At 52.6% G+C, this 20,601-nt stretch overlaps 2 protein-coding genes across 8 annotated transcripts, besides 9 other annotated features; both read left to right on the forward strand.

Moving 5' to 3' along the window:
* Nucleotides 904-10,140, forward strand: AP2M1 (adaptor related protein complex 2 subunit mu 1). 3 transcript variants are annotated; one of them, NM_001311198.2, is made up of 14 exons: nt 904-1,008; nt 3,000-3,116; nt 3,592-3,660; nt 4,267-4,272; nt 4,906-5,171; nt 6,218-6,300; nt 6,694-6,699; nt 6,898-7,033; nt 7,134-7,275; nt 7,745-7,864; nt 7,961-8,096; nt 8,200-8,297; nt 8,806-8,917; nt 9,531-10,140. In NM_001311198.2, exons 2-14 carry the CDS (start codon nt 3,043-3,045, stop codon nt 9,663-9,665), a joined length of 1,383 nt encoding a protein of 460 aa, NP_001298127.1. In that variant the 5' UTR covers nt 904-1,008; nt 3,000-3,042; the 3' UTR covers nt 9,666-10,140. The 3 variants fall into 3 exon arrangements, with proteins under 3 accessions (NP_001298127.1, NP_004059.2, NP_001020376.1); NM_004068.4 differs by lacking the exons at nt 3,592-3,660; nt 4,267-4,272; NM_001025205.2 differs by lacking the exons at nt 3,592-3,660; nt 4,267-4,272; nt 6,694-6,699.
* Nucleotides 952-1,021: an enhancer, noted in NCBI's record as "active region_20903". NCBI's record gives its function as "activates an Ori minimal core promoter by ATAC-STARR-seq in GM12878 lymphoblastoid cells {active_cell/tissue: GM12878}" and the evidence as "EXISTENCE:reporter gene assay evidence [ECO:0000049][PMID:35858748]".
* Nucleotides 1,232-1,281: a silencer, noted in NCBI's record as "silent region_14957". NCBI's record gives its function as "represses an Ori minimal core promoter by ATAC-STARR-seq in GM12878 lymphoblastoid cells {active_cell/tissue: GM12878}" and the evidence as "EXISTENCE:reporter gene assay evidence [ECO:0000049][PMID:35858748]".
* Nucleotides 2,554-3,509: an enhancer, noted in NCBI's record as "NANOG-H3K27ac-H3K4me1 hESC enhancer chr3:183894293-183895248 (GRCh37/hg19 assembly coordinates)". NCBI's record gives its function as "activates a minimal SCP1, AML or CMV promoter by ChIP-STARR-seq in primed H9 embryonic stem cells {active_cell/tissue: H9 hESC(primed)}" and the evidence as "EXISTENCE:reporter gene assay evidence [ECO:0000049][PMID:30033119]".
* Nucleotides 2,554-3,644: a biological region, named in NCBI's record as "Sharpr-MPRA regulatory region 464".
* Nucleotides 3,350-3,644: a silencer, noted in NCBI's record as "tiled region #464; K562 Repressive non-DNase unmatched - State 14:Gen5'". NCBI's record gives its function as "represses a minimal TATA promoter and a strong SV40 promoter by Sharpr-MPRA in K562 cells {active_cell/tissue: K562}" and the evidence as "EXISTENCE:reporter gene assay evidence [ECO:0000049][PMID:27701403]".
* Nucleotides 9,233-9,747: an enhancer, noted in NCBI's record as "H3K4me1 hESC enhancer chr3:183900972-183901486 (GRCh37/hg19 assembly coordinates)". NCBI's record gives its function as "activates a minimal SCP1, AML or CMV promoter by ChIP-STARR-seq in naive H9 embryonic stem cells {active_cell/tissue: H9 hESC(naive)}" and the evidence as "EXISTENCE:reporter gene assay evidence [ECO:0000049][PMID:30033119]".
* Nucleotides 11,041-11,755: an enhancer, noted in NCBI's record as "H3K27ac-H3K4me1 hESC enhancer chr3:183902780-183903494 (GRCh37/hg19 assembly coordinates)". NCBI's record gives its function as "activates a minimal SCP1, AML or CMV promoter by ChIP-STARR-seq in naive H9 embryonic stem cells {active_cell/tissue: H9 hESC(naive)}" and the evidence as "EXISTENCE:reporter gene assay evidence [ECO:0000049][PMID:30033119]".
* Nucleotides 12,233-12,552: an enhancer, noted in NCBI's record as "active region_20904". NCBI's record gives its function as "activates an Ori minimal core promoter by ATAC-STARR-seq in GM12878 lymphoblastoid cells {active_cell/tissue: GM12878}" and the evidence as "EXISTENCE:reporter gene assay evidence [ECO:0000049][PMID:35858748]".
* Nucleotides 12,248-20,054, forward strand: ABCF3 (ATP binding cassette subfamily F member 3). Of its 5 annotated transcripts, NM_001351299.2 has the most exons (22): nt 12,248-12,329; nt 12,556-12,703; nt 12,845-12,924; nt 13,446-13,492; nt 13,713-13,810; nt 13,910-14,032; nt 14,190-14,456; nt 14,713-14,719; nt 14,810-14,890; nt 14,978-15,037; nt 15,137-15,193; nt 15,304-15,326; nt 15,437-15,492; nt 15,606-15,806; nt 15,904-15,980; nt 17,048-17,092; nt 17,172-17,304; nt 18,650-18,738; nt 18,854-18,945; nt 19,151-19,283; nt 19,414-19,501; nt 19,589-20,054. In NM_001351299.2, the coding sequence occupies exons 7-22, from the start codon at nt 14,357-14,359 to the stop codon at nt 19,745-19,747; spliced, it is 1,401 nt and encodes a 466-aa protein (NP_001338228.1). In that variant the 5' UTR covers nt 12,248-12,329; nt 12,556-12,703; nt 12,845-12,924; nt 13,446-13,492; nt 13,713-13,810; nt 13,910-14,032; nt 14,190-14,356; the 3' UTR covers nt 19,748-20,054. The 5 variants fall into 5 exon arrangements, with proteins under 5 accessions (NP_001338228.1, NP_001338229.1, NP_060828.2 ...); NM_001351300.2 differs by lacking the exon at nt 14,713-14,719 and having other exon boundaries at nt 13,413-13,492; NM_018358.3 differs by lacking the exon at nt 14,713-14,719.
* Nucleotides 16,327-17,526: an enhancer, noted in NCBI's record as "MED14-independent group 3 enhancer chr3:183908066-183909265 (GRCh37/hg19 assembly coordinates)". NCBI's record gives its function as "activates an origin of replication core promoter dependent on BRD2, BRD4, P300/CBP and CDK7 cofactors, and independent of MED14, by STARR-seq in HCT116 cells {active_cell/tissue: HCT116}" and the evidence as "EXISTENCE:reporter gene assay evidence [ECO:0000049][PMID:35650434]".

Below are 20,601 nucleotides of genomic sequence, written 5' to 3' on the forward strand. Positions count from 1 at the left end.
GATTTTCTTAAGACTCTGCAAGAACCAAGCAGGCCTTTCATGTGTGAGGGTTGGGTCTGTCTCCTCAGCTTGGATGTAAAGATTCTGTTTATCAAAGAGGGGATTTCAAATCCCATGTCAAACTAAATTCAACTCTTCGAACGTCTTCTAAGCAACATATATGCCTGTCACTAGAAGGCATACACAGTCGCATAGGTATAGCTAAGGAGAACATCGGCTCGTTCATGAAAAGCTGTAGCTGACCTCCGGGAAGAGTGTACAGTCATGGACTTATTTGTGAAAAGGTTTAGTTTCTTCCAAGTAGTCGCCTCCTTCCTCCCCGCTCCTCTCCTTGGGTCTTGATCCCTTGGAAAAAGCTCATGTCCGGAACAAATATATGAGAAAAGCTTGAGAGAATCAGAGGTAGTGTTAGAAAGCAGTAAATTCAGCACAAACACTTCTACTGCCCAGTTGTATTTATTTGTGTGTAAAGTGAGGACAGCCAGTCCTGGGACTCTGGAGACAGAAAAGGCCTACAGCAATCCAAGGCTTAACAGATGTGCTTCCACAAATGGCATTAATATCCCAAAGCTCTCCAGAACACAAATAGGAACAGGAGGAAGTGCAGGGACTACAATTCCCAGAGCGCTCAGTGAAAAAAAAAAAAAAAAAAAAAAAAAAAAAAAAAATGAGGCGGGTGGAGCGGTGTATGCTGGAATGTGTATTTCTGGTAGGGCCGACTAAGGCCACGCCTACCCCTTCCTGAGGCGGGGGCGGTTTCTCGAAGGCAGTCGGTAGTTGTAGTTTTGCTAAACCTAGAGCGCTTCAAATTGCAAGCAAGGAGGCCGCGAGGCCTGACGGGATTTGTAGTCGGCGCTAGACGCCGGCGCGCACGCGCAGCCGGGGCCGGGGCGGGGCGGCGGCACTGCGGTGAAAGCCGAGGCAGCGGGCAGACGAGCAGGGGGCGGGCGGACATCTTGGGATCCGGAGAGTGGCCGGGCCGGCAGAGCAGGGGGCCGAGGACACCAGGTGAGCCGGGGATCTGGCCTTATGGCGTGGAGGAGGACGCTGCGGGTCGTCTGCCTCGCCGCGCAGCTTTGTCCTGCCCTGCACTGAGCTGGCGGAAAGCTGCCCACACCCGGGAGTGGCTTCAGCCTTCGGACCCGGGAGCTAGCTGACGGTGGGGCGGGGGCGCCCGGGGCGCGATTGCAGGGCTGGCGGGGAGCGGTGCCCTCCACCTGACCCGCCTGGCGCCTCCCATGAGAGGGATACCGCTTGGAATCCTCCCAGAGCAGGAACGCTGCGCAGCGCCCCCTCCCTAGGATCGTGCCAACCCCCTACCCCTCCGCGCAAGGACAATTTCCCCGTCTCGTAGGACAGTGACACCCCTTTGTGCCGCCGCCTTGCACCGTGACAGGTCTCACGCCATGCGGCACCCCCTCCTCTTAGTTCAGTGGCACCCCGCGGCTCTTCTTCCTTAGACCTGTGACAGCCCCCGCACCCCCATGGCACCATCTTTTCCCACAATGTCCTCCCCAAGGCGAAAAGCCTACCACCCTCTCATTACTCTGCACCTGAACCCCAAGCAGGCTCTGTCTCCCCAGCTTTCCCTTATTCACCACTGTCAGTTCCCCCGGCCGGTTTTTCCTTCTTAAAGCCTTGACCTTTTCCATACTGGAAACCCTTACCTTTACGTTCACTCCACCAGCCCAGTTTGCTGCTGTGGGCTCACCTGAGGACGCTGCCTGGCTTTCACTGAAGGTCTTTCCCCTTAACTAAATGTTCCATTCTTGCCCAAGGCCCCCCTCTGGTTCTCGGGTGCCCTTCGCTACCTACCACTCGATACCTGTGGACTTGGTGCTTTGCCCCAGGCTCTACCTCCATTTTGCATCTCCTCTCCCAGCCTGTTTGGGACTGAGGGATGGGATGAGTCCACCACCTTGAGAGACCGCTCACCCCTCTGGAAGACCTTGACAGCCACAGGAAAAGGCTTTATTTTCCAGTTTAGAAAAGTCCTCTAAAGTACTCCCTGTGAAATTAATACCAGGGCTAATCCAGGAAATCTAAAACCAAATTAATGCCTTTTCTCAAACAGTCTAAATTAATTTGACCCAAATAATTTGGATAATTCAGGCATCCTGACATCCCTGCTTCTTGCTTATAGGCACCCAGGCCAGAAATGAGTTACTTCATGGGCCTGGAATCACGATTTCAGATGGAAGGATTTCTTAATTTTATGAGCCTGCGCCACCCCCACCCCCCAGTCCTTATTTTTATTGCATTCCAGAGCTTTTTGAAAGGGGGGTGGTAATCAGAAATAACTGTAATAAGCAGCTTGGGTGATGGAAGTGTAGTCTGCCAGCCCTAGGACCTTCCTCCTGTGCCCTTTGCCTGCTTATTCCACTGCCTGGAAGAGGTTAAGCCACACTCCCGGGTCCACATTAGGGCCTAAGGGCTCCCTTCTCTTCTCCTTATACCCTTTCCTGGAATGTTTGAATTCTGTGAATTAGAGTGCCGGAAGTTCAGGCCCTGCGACCTTCTCTGAAGGGTAGTGGAGCCCAAGAGACTGGATGCTCTAAAGGTTATGCCTGGGGGCCCCAGGCCTGAACCAACTGGAGTAATGCCTACCGCCATTCCTGCAGCCGCAGGCAGGCAGGCAAGCCTTAGTGAGTCACTGGCGGGAGCCCGAGAGTCTGCACAGGAGGGGGCCGAAAAGGATCATTCCTGAGCTCAGTGCTGGGGAGAGGGGGCGGGGGTTACTGATGCTCAGCCCCAGGAAAGGGAGGGTCAAAATGGCCTTAGAATCCTGGGCCTAATCTCTCTCTGTTTCTTTCTCCCATCTAGTGTGGAATAAACAGGAACTGGAGCCTGGCTGAGGGGAGGGGCATGTCTGGGAGGGCTGCAGGGTCACTTACTAAAGGGTTGAGTCAGGAAAGAAGCTCCAGTGACCTGCACAGCTCCACAGGGGATGTTGGCAGCGATTCTGAGGTCTTCTTTTACCCTGCCCCCGCCTGTCCTAGGTCTGTTCTCAGAGCGATGGGCCGCGGAGACTGATCTGCCGCCATGATTGGAGGCTTATTCATCTATAATCACAAGGGGGAGGTGCTCATCTCCCGAGTCTACCGAGATGACATCGGGTGAGTCCCCTGGCGGAGCCAGCTGTGCCCCACCACTCCAGCCCCCCAGCCCCAGCATACAGGATTAGGTCTTTTCCCACCATTGGCTTGACTTGGGCCACCCTGACCCCTGGCTGCACCCTGGAAGCTCAGCTAGTGTAGCCTGGCTCCCATTAGGTCTGGTGGTATTGGCCCGGCAGCCAGCCTGCCAGCCCCTAGGTGGGACCTGTGGAATGGCATGGTCCCACAGCTTTAGGAACTCCTTCCCTTCCTGCATCCTGTTTCTCTAGTTACAGTGCCTTTGCCCAGGCTGGTGAATTCCTTCTTTGAGGAGGAGGAGGAGAAATGTCTCCAGTGGGTGGGGTTAGTGGCCACGCTGGAGGCACTAATCCATCTAAGCCTTGCTCTCAGAAGCCCTTCCCATATCAAACGCCTTCACTGGATTCTGTTGAAAGCCCCTCCAGGCTGCCCAATCCTCTCCTGCTCCCTTTCTCAGGAGTCGTCAGGCTGCTGACTCAGCTGTCTTCAGTTCCTCTGGCCCATTCCCTGGGGAGTGGCTGGAAGCGTGAGGCACTCTCTGGGTCACTGTGGGAGGGCAGGGAAGCCATGCTACCCTCTCAGTAGACCCAGAGCAGCTCCATATCCTGGGCCTTCACACAGAGCCACAGCCTGCCTTCTCATTCTGCGCCCCCTTGCACGCCCTTGTTCTTTGCGACTGAAGGGACCTATCCTAGCCTCCGAGGCGCTAAAGAGTAGGCTCCTCTGGTTCCTGCTGCCTGTTTTTCTTCCTCAGAGAGCTTGAGATAAAGTCACAGAATGGGCCTGTGGCAGTGCTCTTCATTTGGCTCCCTGGCTGATGGGCTGGCTTGGCCCTTGCGGGCGTTTGTCCATTGGCTGGTGGTGTGGCATGAGCTAGAGCTGCAGCTGTGGCAAGGCCTGGCCTGTCTGAACCTGGCTGGCTACACCCCCCACCCCAGACCCCCTCCTGCCTTGGATGGACTGGGCAAGCCAAGGCCAGGTCACACGCCGCCTTGCCTGTCTTGTCTGCTTCTGCCTCACGGTGTGTGCCGCCCTCCCGGTGTGTTGTGTGTCTAACCCTCTCTCTCGTTGCTATCACTCTCCTCTTCTTGCTGGCGTCATTTCTCTCATCCCATCTCATTGGCTGCCGTAGCAATAGGTAAGCGGCCTCTCAAGCTGCTGCCCAGGTACAGGTGGGTGGGGGCCTGCCCCCATCGTTTTCCTGCATCCTTTTTCATTCCCTCAACTTGCTCTGGAGTTGGATCCTGGGCAAGAATGGGTAGCACAATTCCATGGCCCCTTGGTACTTCTCCCTCCTTTGTGACTTCTGAAGCCATGCTGGCTTTGTCTAACATCTGGAGGAGTCGGCCCTCCCCACTGGTGGGATCACTAGCGGGAGGACTGAAGAAGCAGTGTCTCTTTCTGTCCTGGACCTGGGAGCTTACAGGGAAGCTAGATAAAGCTGGGAAATTAGGGCCAGCCCTGGGAGTAAGGAATATCTGTCTCTAAACCTGATGAACCTCACTTTATTAAGGTTACATCAGCCTTAATAGTTGACTTCCCTATTTCTTGTGGCCTTTAGACACTAGCCCAGCTCAGGCACTCTTCCCATGCCTCCACAGGGAGTCATAAGAAGGGAACCACTCCAGTGGTTTAGGCATTGGCTTTCTTTGGAGTGTGTGTGTCAGACTTCTGCAGAAAGGAGGGTGGGGCTGTTAGCAGCTGTGGTTGATCCTTATGGGGTAAGGTTCACCTGGGTGCTGAGCAGGCCCTATGCACTCTTTTCCCTCAGGAGGAACGCAGTGGATGCCTTTCGGGTCAATGTTATCCATGCCCGGCAGCAGGTGCGCAGCCCCGTCACCAACATTGCTCGCACCAGCTTCTTCCACGTTAAGCGGTCCAACATTTGGCTGGCAGCAGTCACCAAGCAGAATGTCAACGCTGCCATGGTCTTCGAATTCCTCTATAAGATGTGTGACGTGATGGCTGCCTACTTTGGCAAGATCAGCGAGGAAAACATCAAGAACAATTTTGTGCTCATATATGAGCTGCTGGATGGTGAGGCTGGCGGGCTGGCACGGCAGCGGGCGTAGGGTGGGAAAAAACCAGGCTGGGCCTGGCCTGAAGGTGGGTGTAGGTCCGAGGCTCTGGTACACTCTGAACTTTCTTTCCTGAGTATTTGGTCTCTTGGGCTAGGATCTCTATGCCCCTCAGAAGGCCAGTTCACATCCAGACCTGAAGGCTGGTCTGAAGTAGAACACAGAAATAGGCCAGCAGGTGATCTTCCAAGGGGCTAGGAACCTGACTCAGGTTTGGTGGCTGAACCTCCTGTATTCATCCTCTTTCCTTTGTGGCTTGGACCTTAGTTCACTAACTGTCCACCCAGTTTTCCATCTCAGCAGCTGCTTCAGAGCCTGGGGGAGAGTGAGATATTACAAGCCTCTTGGGGTGCACTGTTATCTCTGTTCCTCTGTAGAGTGTGATCTAAGAGAAGGTGAATACTTCCACCTTCCCAATGTCTATTTTCTGGAGAAAACAGCTCAAAGCTTCTTGACTTGCCACCCACTGGCCATGTGACTCTTCTATTGATTTCTTTTCTTTTTTTTTTTTTTTTGAGACAGGGTCTTGCTCTTGTCACCTATGCTGAGTGCAGTGGTGCAATTGCAGCTTACTGAAGCCTCGACCTCCTAGGCTCAAGCAATCCTCCAGCCTTAGCCTCCTGAGTAGCTGGGACCATAGGCACATGCCACCATGCTTGGCTCATTTTTACTACTTTTTGTAGAGCTGGGTCTCGCTATGTTGCCCAGGCTGGTCTTGAACTCCTGGGCTCAAGTGATTCTCCCACCTTGGCCTCCCGAAGTGTTGGGATTACAGGCATGAGCCACTGCACCTGGCCTTGATTTCTCTATTTGAAAAAAATCAAACATTTGAATTGTTTTCCTGTAAAGCACAAATCACAGAATAAATGCTACAAAGCTAGAAGACTTTCTTGCGGATGATCCCACATGGGCTTTGGGAGCTGTGCCGGTCAGATGTGTAGGCCCAAGTAGGGGCTGGAATGAAGAAGCTCTGTCCAGGGGCTGATGGTTCCCTTCTTTTTGCAGAGATTCTAGACTTTGGCTACCCACAGAATTCCGAGACAGGCGCGCTGAAAACCTTCATCACGCAGCAGGGCATCAAGAGTCAGGTACTTGAATTGTGCAGACTATAGTCAGGGTGGAGTCCAATCTCCCTTCATCTCAGCTGGCCCCTGAGCCTTGTCTGAGCTGACTCATGAGCCCTCCCATGACAGGAAGTGCTGGCCTGAGCCTCCTGCCATGATTGCAGGCCGATTTTGCTCTGTGTGGTCCTCCCACTGCAGGAGCAGCCAATTCAGCATCTCTATTACCAGGAATACAGCTCAAGCAGTTTCCTTTTGCACTGAGGGGTGGGGGAGGAGGCCTGGTCTTGAGGCCTGGTATTCCTCAGGAGGAGCGAGCTTGGGCCCTCTCCTCTAGGATCCAAGCCTCATAGCTTTCTCCTCCTTTTCTGCCTCCCTTGCTGCTTCATGTGGGCACCTCGTTGGCCCTGCGGCCTCCAGCATCAGGTAAGCTCTTCCCTCAGCTTCCACCCTTGCAGCTTTGCTTTGTTTCTCCAGGCCCTGCCCTTTGGGGCTTATAGGGGAAAATGGATTACAGGTGGGGACTAGAAGGGATGGGGAATGAGGGTGGAGTGGGGATAGAGACAGGATGATTAAAGGGACAGAGGAGTGAGGCCATTGCTGTTTGTTTCTGCCCTCATGTAGACAAAAGAAGAGCAGTCACAGATCACCAGCCAGGTAACTGGGCAGATTGGCTGGCGGCGAGAGGGTATCAAGTATCGTCGGAATGAGCTCTTCCTGGATGTGCTGGAGAGTGTGAACCTGCTCATGTCCCCACAAGGTGAGGTCCCTCTCACGACAAAGTTGGAGGGGGCCCAGGGCAGGATCCTGGGCCTGCCTGCCTGACTCCGCTGCTCCCCATTTATCTGTTCCATCACCAGGGCAGGTGCTGAGTGCCCATGTGTCGGGCCGGGTGGTGATGAAGAGCTACCTGAGTGGCATGCCTGAATGCAAGTTTGGGATGAATGACAAGATTGTTATTGAAAAGCAGGGCAAAGGCACAGCTGATGAAACAAGCAAGAGGTGCCTGAGGCAGGAGAGCTGGTGGGAGAGGGTGTCCCTTGGAGGGCTCAGTGGGGTCTAGTGAACCACAAGTTTCTTCTGGATTTCATTCCCACTGTAATTGCAAACTCTGTTCCTGACGGTAAGCCTGGCTGTTCGCTCTTGACATTAGTGCTACGAGAGATGAGGGGATCGTCCTCAGAGAGCAAGCCCCTTTGTTTGGTCCCTAGGACCAAGGCCTTTTCTGTACATACTGACAGCCTCTGCCCAGTGTGCCTGAAACACCCAGGTCCCTAGCAGAAGGAGCCCCAAGAGATGAGCTTGCAAGGCTTCCCTCTCATCCCAAGCTCTGGGGCAGACCTCCGAGTCACAAAGCTGCATTCTAGCAGCTTTTCATAGTCTCTGGTGCCAGCCTGGGGTGGAGTGGTCTCCCAGCATGACAGCTGTCATTCTCCTGTACCAATGAGACCTCTTCTGCCCCTGCTTGCAGCGGGAAGCAATCAATTGCCATTGATGACTGCACCTTCCACCAGTGTGTGCGACTCAGCAAGTTTGACTCTGAACGCAGCATCAGCTTTATCCCGCCAGATGGAGAGTTTGAGCTTATGAGGTGCCATTGGGGTGTGAGGAGGCAGCTAGTGCTGCTGGCAGACTGGGGAGAGGAAGTGGGTCAGCTCTTTGGTAACCTTGCTTCCCATCCCTTAAGGTATCGCACAACCAAGGACATCATCCTTCCCTTCCGGGTGATCCCGCTAGTGCGAGAAGTGGGACGCACCAAACTGGAGGTCAAGGTGGTCATCAAGTCCAACTTTAAACCCTCACTGCTGGCTCAGAAGATCGAGGTGAGGACAGGGGGCTCAAGGAGGAGGAAGAACTTGTCCCTAGGAATAAAGGTAGCTGATGTCACAGCTTGACAGAGCTCCCTGACAGGTGTGTCACTTCTAGGTGAGGATCCCAACCCCACTGAACACAAGCGGGGTGCAGGTGATCTGCATGAAGGGGAAGGCCAAGTACAAGGCCAGCGAGAATGCCATCGTGTGGAAGTGAGTCTTTCCTTCATTAGGCCACAGCAGGGCTCAAGATCCCAGTATACCCTCTTGTTTTCAGCTTTGATCCTTCTGAATGAGGGGCAGGGGAGTGTGCCTGTTTGCTTTTCTAGGAGCCTCTGCTTGTACTGTCAGTCTTTATACCTCCATGTGAGTATGTACACGCCTGCATTTGGGTTCATGCACGTGCTTATTTTTTAAGATGCTTTGGCATTTCCCTTTGTAATGTATACATTACAAAGGGAATACATTGCCTTTGTAATGTATCTGTGAAGCAGACAAAGCAAACGATAGCATGTCCAAGTGTCTAGGCAGAAACTGCATCCTGTTGTTCTAAAGAAGTAGACCCAAGTTTCCATAGCAAGTGGTTAGCAGGGTCCTGACCACTTCTCCTTGTTCTGGCACCTCCTGCAAGCTCCTGGGCTCTCTCCTTGCTTGAAATGGGCAACTGCCCTTGAAACTCCTCCAAGCCCCAATGGGCTGCCCATTGTCCCTGTGTTCCCAGGATCAAGCGCATGGCAGGCATGAAGGAATCGCAGATCAGCGCAGAGATTGAGCTTCTGCCTACCAACGACAAGAAGAAATGGGCTCGACCCCCCATTTCCATGAACTTTGAGGTATGGCAGAGGAGGGGCCTAGAGTCATGCCAGGGTATGCTGGAAGACCTCTTAGAGATCATTCCGATAAACTGCTGCACCTTAGAGGTGAGGAAACTGAGGCCTAGAAAGAAGAACTGGCTTTAATTCATAGATCCATTCTTCCCCTTTCAAGCCTCTTAGTAGAAATTACTATTTGTGATGAGGCAAATCTTTTACTTCTCTCGGCTTGTCCTAACACAGTTCTTTCAAAAAACTTAGATTGTTTAAATGCCAGGTAAGACACAAAGTTTACTTACAGACAGGATAATGGGCTGACTTTGCTTTGCGCATGTTAGACATAATTTTCTCCACCTTATTTTTAAGTTCATAATATTGAGCAGGATAAGTATGTTCTAAAGCAGTTCTTTGGTTGCTGTCTCCTGCTGATTAAAGGAACTGATTCAAGGTGTCACAGGTAGGGCTTTCTTCTTTAGTCACCTCTTAGAAGGTCCCACGCCGCCCCAGCTTCTTTCAGGACCCCAGCCATACAAACACCTGTAGTAGCGATGAAGTAGGGCAGGGCAACGGGACTTCCCAGAGGAGAGCGGCTGTAAGAGGAAGGCCACATTTCTAACTAGCTCTCCTTGCCCAGGTGCCATTCGCGCCCTCTGGCCTCAAGGTGCGCTACTTGAAGGTGTTTGAACCGAAGCTGAACTACAGCGACCATGATGTCATCAAATGGGTGCGCTACATTGGCCGCAGTGGCATTTATGAAACTCGCTGCTAGCTGCCACTAGGCAGCTAGCCCACCTCCCCAGCCACCCTCCTCCACAGGTCCAGGTGCCGCTCCCTCCCCCACCACACATCAGTGTCTCCTCCCTCCTGCTTTGCTGCCTTCCCTTTGCACCAGCCCGAGTCTAGGTCTGGGCCAAGCACATTACAAGTGGGACCGGTGGAGCAGCCCCTGGGCTCCCTGGGCAGGGGAGTTCTGAGGCTCCTGCTCTCCCATCCACCTGTCTGTCCTGGCCTAATGCCAGGCTCTGAGTTCTGTGACCAAAGCCAGGTGGGTTCCCTTTCCTTCCCACCCCTGTGGCCACAGCTCTGGAGTGGGAGGGTTGGTTGCCCCTCACCTCAGAGCTCCCCCAAAGGCCAGTAATGGATCCCCGGCCTCAGTCCCTACTCTGCTTTGGGATAGTGTGAGCTTCATTTTGTACACGTGTGACTTCGTCCAGTTACAAACCCAATAAACTCTGTAGAGTGGAGTTGCTGGCTTAGTGTTGATGTGGGAGCTACATGGGGAGGGAACTGGTGTTGCTCTCCGTGCAGTTTTCTGTACTGAATACTCTAAAGGCTCTTTCCTTGTCTTGTCCCAGTTAGGCCCCTCCTGGGCCATCCAAGCCCTTATCCTTGTGGGTTCTGGGCCCAGGTTTCCTGGCTCCTCTTAGAAAGCCTCAAGGGCATGCAGCCGCAGCGGGCCCCAGTACCCTGGGGATAGATTCTTTCCCTAGCTCCTTTTTATTCCCCCTGGTCCTCGGACTCCTAGGCTCAAGAGATCTTACCTGCCCCAGCCTCTGGAGTAGCTGGGATCACAAGCACGCACCACCACAGCACCCAGCTCTTTCTCTAATTCTTAGGCAGATGTTTTCTAATTAGATTAAGCATAAATTAAGTGTGAAGTTTACATTTGGTCTTGTAGCCATCCTAAGAAATTGACCTTTTAATTCCATCATTTACCCAAGCTTCCCAAATCTTGCTGACTGGGTGGTAGGAGGAAAGATTTGCAAGGAGAATAACATAATGGACTGGGCGCGGTGGCTCACACTGTAATCCCAGCACTCTGGGAGGCCGAGACGGGTGGATCACCCGAGGTCCGGAATTCGAGACCAGCCTGACCAACATGGGGAAACCTCGTCTCTACTAAAATTACAAAATTAGCCGGGCGTGGTGGTGCATGCCGGTAATCCCAGCTATTCGGGGGCTGAGGCAGGAGAATCGCTCGAACCCAGGAGGTGGAGGCTGCGGTGAGCCAAGATCACGCCACTGTACTCCAGCCTGGGCAACAAGAGCGAAACTCCTTCTCAAATTAAAAAAAAAAAAAAAAAGAATATAATGAATCTCCATGTCTCATCACCCAGCTTCAACTATGATCAATGCGTGGCCAGTTCCTTAATATCACATCCAGTTTGTGTTCACTTAACCAGGTGTCTTATCAAATTTTTCCAGATAAGGTCCATTGTGGTTGGTTAATGCTCCTCAAATTTTAAAAATTGATGTTTCCCTTCAGGTCTTGCAATTTTGTGGAAGAAACCAGAGTTCTGTAGTTTACCACATCAGAATTTGCCTGTTGTCCCCATGAAGTCACTTAACATATTCCTCTTTACCTGTATTTCCTGTAAAATGGTTCAATATCGGGATTGATGCCTCATGATGGCAATGTTTAATCCAAAGGGATGAATGGGTAATAATGTAATTTTCGGTGCCACTTTTAGAGACCAATTGGAGGAATATTCACGTTAAATATAAAGCAGTAGCATCATTTTGGAGGAAATTCCTAACTTCCCGAGGGAATCGGTGAAAGGAAATAGCCTTTTATTGGCATTTATTGAGTGCAGAGAAGTCTGCTCAGGGTGTAGGTAGGGAATAATTTATACAGGCCACGTTGTCCTGGTTTTCTTGCCCTTTGGCGGTGGATTTGGTCGTGCCCTGGGGTGGTGGAAGAACTGAATGGGCTTAATTCACAAAGGTCGGCTGAATTACACAGTGAAAAGGCGGTCGCGGCGGGGAGGCGGGTGGCGCTGGCCACCAGGCTGAGAAGCCCGTAGGGTCTGGGGACCCGCGAAAGCAAAGCACTGAGCAGGGGGCTTCTGAGAGTCAGGGACCGGGGTGAGTCAGCAAAGCTCTGGGCAGGCTCCAAAATGGGCCTGACTGGGTACGCACCAGCAGCAGACGCGCCTCGAGGGAGCGCATAAAACCTGGCAAAGCCAAAGTGCTTTATCAGCCGCCTGCCTCTTGGGAGGCTCCCACCCGCCAGACCACGGGTGCCTCGCGGCCCCGATAAACCTTGAGCTCCCAGCCTTTGCCCCACCCCTCGCTCCCGGAACTCCACCTCCCAGAAGGCAGCGAGAACCGCACATGTGGCTAATCTTTCAGCGGAAAAGGTGTCGCGCACGCGCAGAGAGCGCGGCTCCGGCGCAGACTCGGCGCCTCTCCTCAAGGCCCCGCTCGCCCCGCCCACCGGGCTCTGCGCACTCCGCTCCTTTCCTGCGTCACCGCTACACATGCGCCTTGCAAGGAAGGGCGAGATTTCGGGGGCAGGGCGGGGGGCGGGCCTAGGCCGGGGTCTCACAGCGACTGCGCGGACGGGTTCCTGAGTGGAACATGGCGACTTGCGCCGAAATCCTGCGGAGCGAGTTCCCCGAAATTGACGGACAAGTCTTCGACTACGTGACCGGTAAGCAGAACTGAATCGGCCGGCTGGGGAGACCGAAGTGGAGGCCGGGGGAAAGTCTAAGCGAGCGTCGTGCCCGGGACTGTTGCCAGGCCTCTCCTCTGCATGACCTCTTGTCCCGGGGGCTGGTTGGGTCTGGAGCCTGGACTGGGGCCTCTGTCTGGGGTCTGAAACTGCTTGTGTGTCCACCCTACCCGATACCTTCCTCGTTCTACCACGCCCTGCCCAGGCGTCTTGCACAGCGGCAGCGCGGACTTCGAGTCTGTGGATGACCTGGTGGAAGCTGTAGGGGAACTATTGCAAGAGGTGTCCGGGGACAGCAAGGATGACGCGGGCATCAGGGCCGTGTGCCAGCGCATGTACAACACTCTGCGTCTGTATGTGCCAGGGAGTAGGGGTTGATGGGGGCGAAGGGACGGCGAACGGTCCGGAGACAAGAGGTGGGGGAGGAAGATCTGATGGCCATAGAGCTTTTCCCTCAACTCCTAACTCTGCGCTTTCTATCCCTACCCACATAGGGCTGAGCCACAAAGCCAGGGAAATAGCCAGGTGCTACTGGACGCCCCTATCCAGTTGTCAAAGATAACGGAGAACTACGGTGAGAGTGAGGGGAGGTTGAACTAACTGCCCCCCTGTGCTTTTCTCCGCCCCCAACCATCTGCTGCCTGCAGCTTAGGGCTCCTACGTCTTTTCCACAGGACAAGGTTGTAGGAGCTAGTTGATGTCTTTACCGAGGGCAGAAGAGCCCATGATGGGGGTGGGGAGGAGGTTGGAGGGTTCTCCCTCCAAGCTCTTGGGTAGGATAGGAAGCATAAGAGCCTGGAGCTGGACAGACTTGCTTTCACCCCCAGTTTTGCAACTTGCTAACCAGCTGCATGATCTTGTAAGAGTTGGTTATCTGTCCCCAGCCTTGTCTATGCCTCTGTATCCTTCTACGTGAGTTTTGTTTTGTTTTGTTTTGTTTTGTTTTTAGTGCAGGGAAGATAATAGCCATCTATCTGCAGTATTATAAGGTTTTGTAGAAAACATCTGTGTCTGTGCCTGGTTCCTATTAGTCACTCAAAATGTTAGTTTCCCTTCCCTCAGGGAGAAGGTGACTGCTTTTCTTATCGCTTACAGACTGTGGAACCAAACTTCCAGGACTGCTAAAGAGGGAACAGTCCTCGGTGAGGAGGAGGAAGCAAGGGAGGGGACTGTCTGTGATGGGGTTGGGAGTTGACTGTCTAATTGGAGTATCTTTTGGGGGGATTTCTGACTATGTCTTTTCCTGAGCCTTTGAGTCTGTTCATCATGGGTAAGTTAAGAGGGTTTACTCGAGATGTTCTCTCTTGGGGTTCCTTTCTGAGCCTACACCCGAGAGTGAAGTCGATGTGTTTGGACCCTTAGACAGTGAATGCAAAGAAGTTAGAGAAGGCCGAGGCTCGACTTAAGGCAAAGCAGGAGAAGCGCTCAGAGAAGGACACGCTCAAGACCAGCAACCCTCTGTGAGTGGGGGAAGCATGGCTCAGAAGAGAGCAGAGCAGCTTTTGCCTGGACAGAAGGTGGTGGGGAGCACTAAGAGCTGTCCATTTCTCCCTTTAAAGAGTCTTAGAAGAGGCATCAGCCAGCCAGGCAGGCAGCAGAAAGGAGAGTCGGTTGGAATCATCTGGCAAGAACAAATCCTATGATGTGCGAATTGAGAACTTTGATGTGTCTTTTGGCGATAGGTGAGGGAATAGTGGTGGCAGGGGTTGGCTTTCTTTTTCTAATTAGAGGACAATTTGGAGAGGTGAAACGGGGCTATAAACAATGTTAGGTTTGTCATTAAACTTGCTGTGCACCTATTTCTAGAGCATCTTTGGTCTCCTTTCTCCACTCCTGCAGAGTACTGCTGGCTGGAGCGGATGTGAACCTGGCATGGGGCCGCCGTTACGGGCTGGTGGGGCGGAATGGGTTGGGGAAGACAACGTTACTGAAGATGCTGGCCACCCGGAGTCTGCGGGTTCCAGCCCACATTTCCCTGCTGCACGTTGAGCAAGAGGTTGCTGGAGATGACACTCCTGCCCTGCAGAGTGTGCTGGAGAGTGACAGTGTGCGAGAGGATTTGCTACGGAGGGAGCGGGAGCTCACTGCCCAGATTGCTGCTGGCAGGTGAGGACTCCCGGCTAGGGAGTAACTAGCAGCCGCTGTCGCTTACAGAGCGCCTGCCGTCCTGGAACAATCCATAATTTGCATGTACATCCTAGTAATCAGCAGAGCTTAGAACTTGGCACTCTGGGACTCAGAAGCCCTTGTTCTTTCCACAGTGCCCATTGCCCTTTCTTGTTCTTTCCACAGTGCCCATTTCCATAGTGCCCAAGGTAATGAGCACTGTGCAAACCCTTCCTGTATTCTCTTCCTCTTCCAGCCACAAGGTAGCCAATGGCCTTTCCAACGGTATAGGGTGCAGGACATCCTCCTAGACTGCCCCTGCTTAGGCCAATTGCTGTTTCTCCTCCCTCCAGGGCGGAGGGCTCTGAAGCTGCAGAGCTGGCAGAAATCTATGCCAAACTGGAGGAGATTGAGGCTGACAAGGCACCTGCCAGGTATTTAAAGCTCCCCCTCCCTCCTTCAGATTTCCTTTCCCTTCTGTGGACTGTTCCAACTGAGTTCTTCGATTTCTTCTCTACTAGGGCATCAGTCATTCTCGCTGGGCTTGGCTTTACCCCTAAAATGCAGCAGCAGCCCACCCGGTGAGTGACCCTTGCCATTCTTGGCTTTGAACCCTGTTGTCTCAGCCCCTTCCTGCCCTGATGAACACCCACCCATAATGTGACTCCATCATTCTTTAGGGAGTTCTCAGGTGGCTGGAGGATGAGGCTGGCCCTGGCCCGGGCCCTCTTTGCTAGGTGAGTCTCCTGGGCCAGTGTATGAAGCCCTATGGAAGATTGGTCTTAGCTCTTGGGAGGTGGCATGAGTTGCTGACCTAAAACCTCAGGCCATGTATTGTTTTTCATAGGCCAGATCTTCTGCTGTTAGATGGTGAGTTTGAAATGGGGCACCCTGACTTTAGGATGGGCAGGGGTGGTAGCATCCAAGTTCCTAGTTCTCCAGCCCTTCAATCCCAAGTGTGTGCTCCCCTGCTTCTCCAGAACCTACAAACATGCTGGATGTCAGGGCCATCCTGTGGCTGGAGAATTACCTGCAGGTGAGTGCCTGTGGGTGCTGGAGTGTGTTGGGGAAAGGCGGCCTCCAAGATACCTGGGGGCCTGAGAACTGACTGCCCTCCCAAACCGGGCCTGCTGTCCTGTGACCCCTCAGACGTGGCCCTCCACCATCCTAGTCGTCTCCCACGACCGCAACTTCTTGAATGCCATCGCCACAGACATCATCCACCTGCACAGCCAGCGGCTAGATGGTTACCGGGGAGACTTTGAGACCTTCATCAAGAGTAAGCAGGAGCGGCTGCTCAACCAGCAGCGTGAATATGAGGCGCAGCAGCAGTATCGCCAGCACATCCAGGTGTGGGGCCTGGCAGGGCTGGGGGTCCCATCCCAGGGGTTCCAGAGTGGGGGATAGTGGGGGAATTTGACCAATGCCTACACTCCTCCACCTGCAGGTTTTCATTGACCGGTTTCGCTACAATGCCAACAGGGCCTCTCAAGTGCAGAGTAAACTCAAGATGCTGGAGAAGCTGTGAGTACAGCATCCTTGGCCAGGGCCTGACTCCTGTTCTCTTCGTCTCCTTCCGCATTTGCACGCCACCCTTGCCCTACCATTCTAGGTCTCCCCTTCGCTAGAAGCCAACTGTGACTTCCTCCTCTGCTGGGAAGCAGAGTATTCCACACTGTTCTTGGAGGGCTAATCTTGACTAGCACATGGCAACCACTAATTTACTTTCTGTTTCTGCTTCTACGTATCTGCTTATTCTGGGCATTTCATATAAATGGAATCATACAATATGACCTTTGTGCCTGGTGTCTTTTACCTGGCGTCATGTGTGAGGCTCATCCATATTGTAGCGTGCGTCAGAGCTTCATTTCTTTTCGTGGCTGGATAATATTCTGTTGTGTGGATATACAGCATTTTGTTTATTGAGTCATGAGGGGCCATTTGGGTTGTTTCCATTTTGGTTATTATGAATAATGTTGCTGTGAACATTGGTGTACAAATTTTTGTGTGGACATATGTTTTCAGCTTGCTTGGGTGTATACCTAGGCGCAGAATTGCTGGGTTACCTGGTAATTCCAAATTAATGTTTTGAGGAACTGTCAAACTGTTTTCTAAAGCAACAACATCATTTTACATTCCTACCAACAAGGGATGAGAGTTCCAATTTCTCCATGTCTTTGGCAGCACTGTTATTGACTTTTTTTTTTTTAGTTTTAGCCATCCTAGTGGCTGTGAAGTGATAGCTCATTGTGGTTTTGATTTGCATTGCCTTAATAACTAATGATAATGTGCATTGGGAGTTTAATTTTGAAGTGCCCTTTCTATAAGTGCTGGCAGGAAGCTTAAAATCATAAAGCTTAGATGTTTGCGACGTGGAAACATATCACAATATAGTAACTGGGGATAAAAAGTCACAAAAAGCCTAATTCTATTTTTTAGCATACAGTAAATGAGAAGAATGGACTCTAAAGTAATGATACCTGAGTGGTAGGAGTACAAGCCCTTTCTAAGTTTTCTCTGAACATATATTACTCGTGTAGGAAGTTATTTTTTTAAGTAATAAATCTAGTCTACCTCATCTCTTCTCCCAGGCCTGAGCTGAAGCCTGTGGACAAGGAATCAGAGGTCGTAATGAAGTAAGTGCTGGGCCAGTGGGGCTGGTGGGGAATTGCTTGCTTCCAGCTGCCCCCACATCCTCACCCCTACCTCCTGCAGGTTCCCTGATGGGTTTGAGAAGTTCTCGCCGCCAATTCTGCAGCTAGATGAGGTGGATTTCTACTACGATCCGAAGCACGTCATCTTCAGTCGCCTCTCTGTGTCTGCTGATCTCGAGTCTCGCATCTGTGTGGTAAGGCTGCTGTTTCTCTGTGCTGCGAGCTGGGACTCTCCTGTCTAAGTGTGTGGTGTGGATTGGCCCAGATCCTCAGGCTGTAAAGGGACGAGGTCTGTGGAACAGGAGTGAGGGCCCGGGCTAAGGATTTTGCAGGACTTACACTAGCCCTGTCCTCTGGCCGCACAGCGCTGCTCTTCAGGGAGGAAGAGCCTAGTGTATAGTGTTTTAAAAATACTTAAAAATACTTAAAGCAGTGCTTTACCTTATTGGTCTCGGTTCTGAGTTTTCTAAACCTGGAGACATTGAGGAGAGAGCATGGGCTTCAGGGTCAGACTTCGGATCTTGACTATGCCATTTCCTAGCTTGGTTACCAAGCAGCTTCCTAACTCTTAAGATGGCGCTGACATCTACCTCACTTGGTTCTTGGGAAAAGTAAGTCCCCAGCACTTAGCAAATACTCAAGTATTGCTCACCTTAGTATATGCATTTTTCTGTAGAGTTAGAGTTCCTTTTTTTTTTTTTTCGGAGACAGAGTCCTGCCCTGTTGCCCCGGCTGGAGTGCAATGGCACAATCTTGGCTCACCGCAGCTTTCGCCTCCCGGGTTCAAACAGTTCTCCCTCAGCCCCACAAGTAGCTGAGATTACAGGCACCCGCCACCATGCCCAGCTAATTTTTTGCATTTTTAGTAGAGATGGGGTTTTACCATATTGGCCAGGCTGGTCTCAAACTCCTGACCTCAAATGATCTGCCTGCCTCAGCCTCCCAAAGTGCTGGGAATACAGGCCTGAGCCACCGTGCCCGGCTAGAGTCCTTAAAAATATTTTTTTGGTTGTTGAAGGAGTCATCGGGACTGGGGACTGCCTGGGACCCCTTCTAATTTCCTTCTCCTCTGTGTTACACACAGCGGTGCTCTTTTTATTGATACATAATTGTACATATTTATGGGGTACAGAGTGATACTTCCATGCATGTATACAATGTGTAATGATCAAATCAGGGTAATTAGCATATTCATCATAAACATTTATCACTTTATGTTGGGAACATTCAGAATCTTCTAGCTTTTTGAAAATGTACAGTCTATCATTGTGAACTGTAGCGTCCCTGCAGTGCTGTAGAACCCTAGAACTTATTCCTCCATTCCTCCTATCTAACTGCAATTTTGTTTCAGTTAACCAACCTCTCCCGAACCCCTCTCTCAATTCCCCTCCTCCCCCCTTATCCTTCCCAGCCTCTAGTAACCACAACTCTGCTCTCTACTTCTATGTGCTCAACACTTTTTAGTGCCCACATATGAATGAGAACATACCGTATTTATTTTTCTGGCACACACTGTATGACATTTTCATGTTTCTTAAGGTTGGAGAGAATGGGGCTGGGAAGTCTACCATGCTGAAGCTGCTTTTGGGGGACCTGGCACCTGTTCGGGGCATCAGACACGCTCACAGGTCAGGCCCACCCGCACCCCTGCCCCCATGAGCACATTTGCAGGCACCCATGCTGCCTGCGCTCCTTCGTGGCCATTGCCTTTGTCTGTTTTTCCACCTCGGCTTCTGCCTGCAGGAATCTGAAGATTGGCTATTTCAGCCAGCACCATGTGGAGCAGCTGGACCTAAACGTCAGTGCTGTGGAACTGCTGGCACGCAAGTTTCCTGGTGAGTTAGGGATTTGAGTCGGGGGAAGAGTTTGAGTAGGGAAGAGGGCTGAGGCTGACCCCGGCAGCTAGGCCTGCCTTGGGGTGCGTGCAGAGCAGCCCCGCCAAGCCTAGATGGAAGGACATGGGGACTTGGAGGTGTGGCTGGAGGGCACAGGGAGGGTGTTGGGCCAAGAAGCCACCTGATCTGGGGAGTCCTTTTCCAGGGCGGCCTGAGGAGGAGTACCGTCACCAGCTGGGTCGGTATGGCATCTCCGGAGAACTGGCCATGCGTCCTCTTGCCAGCCTGTCTGGGGGCCAGAAGAGCCGAGTGGCCTTTGCTCAGATGACTATGCCCTGGTGAGGCCTCATTTTCCAGAGCTCTTCCCCTCCCATTTCCCCTTCTTGCCCAGTAGAAAACTGTATCAGAAGGCTTTATTTTCTCTCACCGCACCCCTTCACTGCCCACCTTCCTGGTTCTGCCTTCCAGCCCCAACTTCTACATTCTGGATGAACCCACAAACCACCTGGACATGGAGACCATTGAGGCTCTGGGCCGTGCCCTCAACAATTTCAGGGTGAGTGTGCCTTCACCCTGACCACTCCTCCCAGGCCTCGGTGCCTCTTGTGTCCCCCTGAGCACCTCCTGCCCTCCTGTCTTTCAGGGTGGTGTGATTCTGGTGTCCCACGATGAGCGCTTTATCAGGCTGGTGTGCCGGGAGTTGTGGGTATGCGAAGGAGGCGGCGTCACCCGTGTGGAAGGAGGATTTGACCAGTACCGCGCCCTCCTCCAGGAACAGTTCCGCCGCGAAGGCTTCCTCTAGGGCCACCAGGCTGAGGACTCGCCCAGGACATGGACTGGTCTCTCAGACCCCTGGGCCACCATGTAGGCCACCACTCCAGGCCGTGGACTTCCCCCAACTTGGGGACAGCCTTATTCCCAAATGTCTCTATCCTTTTGACTGGAGCATCTTCTGCACAACCTTGGGAGCCCATCCAAGGGTTGGTGAGGACTGGTCTCCCGGGGGTGGGGGTCTGGGGGGTACCCTCTGGGGTTATAGATTCCCCCACTGCCCCAGCTCTGACTGGACCCCAAGTGGCTGCTATGTAAATTAAATCTCTCCCCGCGTCTCCTTTGCCTCATGTCTGCTGCTCCCTGGGCAGTGGTTGCCTCCTACTGAGGGCTGTGGACTCTCGGATTGGCGTTTTCCTATGGCACTTGTATCCCTCACGTGTAGGAAGCAATAGCAGCACCAGCCTTGCCTCTAGAAGAGACATTGTCAAGCTACTGGGGCATGGAGGTCATCTGCCTGCCTGACCTTGGGGTGGGCTGAGCCAGTGGAATGAAGGGCAGTGTATTGGCATCATTGCGGTGCTGTTAGCCCTAGCCTGGGCTCAGCCTCAGCTGAAGGGGTCTTGGGTTCTGTCGTCACAGCCCCCACTGATGGGCAGTTGAACTGATTGTGTAACCTGGCCTCACACGTGGCCAGCTGCTTTCTCCAGTCATATCTGGCTCCGGCTTGCCCTGCTTCTCTGCTCTCTAGACTCAGCACTGAAGAGAAACCATCTTTGTCCTCACTTTGCTTGGGTGATTGCATGTTCTTTATATTTCCTCTAACCATATAGGAGGGGCCTGGGAAATAGGGAATTTAGGACAGGGTCTAACAGGAAGGCATAG

Source organism: Homo sapiens, chromosome 3 (genome assembly GCF_000001405.40).
Source record: "Homo sapiens chromosome 3, GRCh38.p14 Primary Assembly".
NCBI classification, from domain to species: Eukaryota; Metazoa; Chordata; class Mammalia; order Primates; family Hominidae; genus Homo; species Homo sapiens.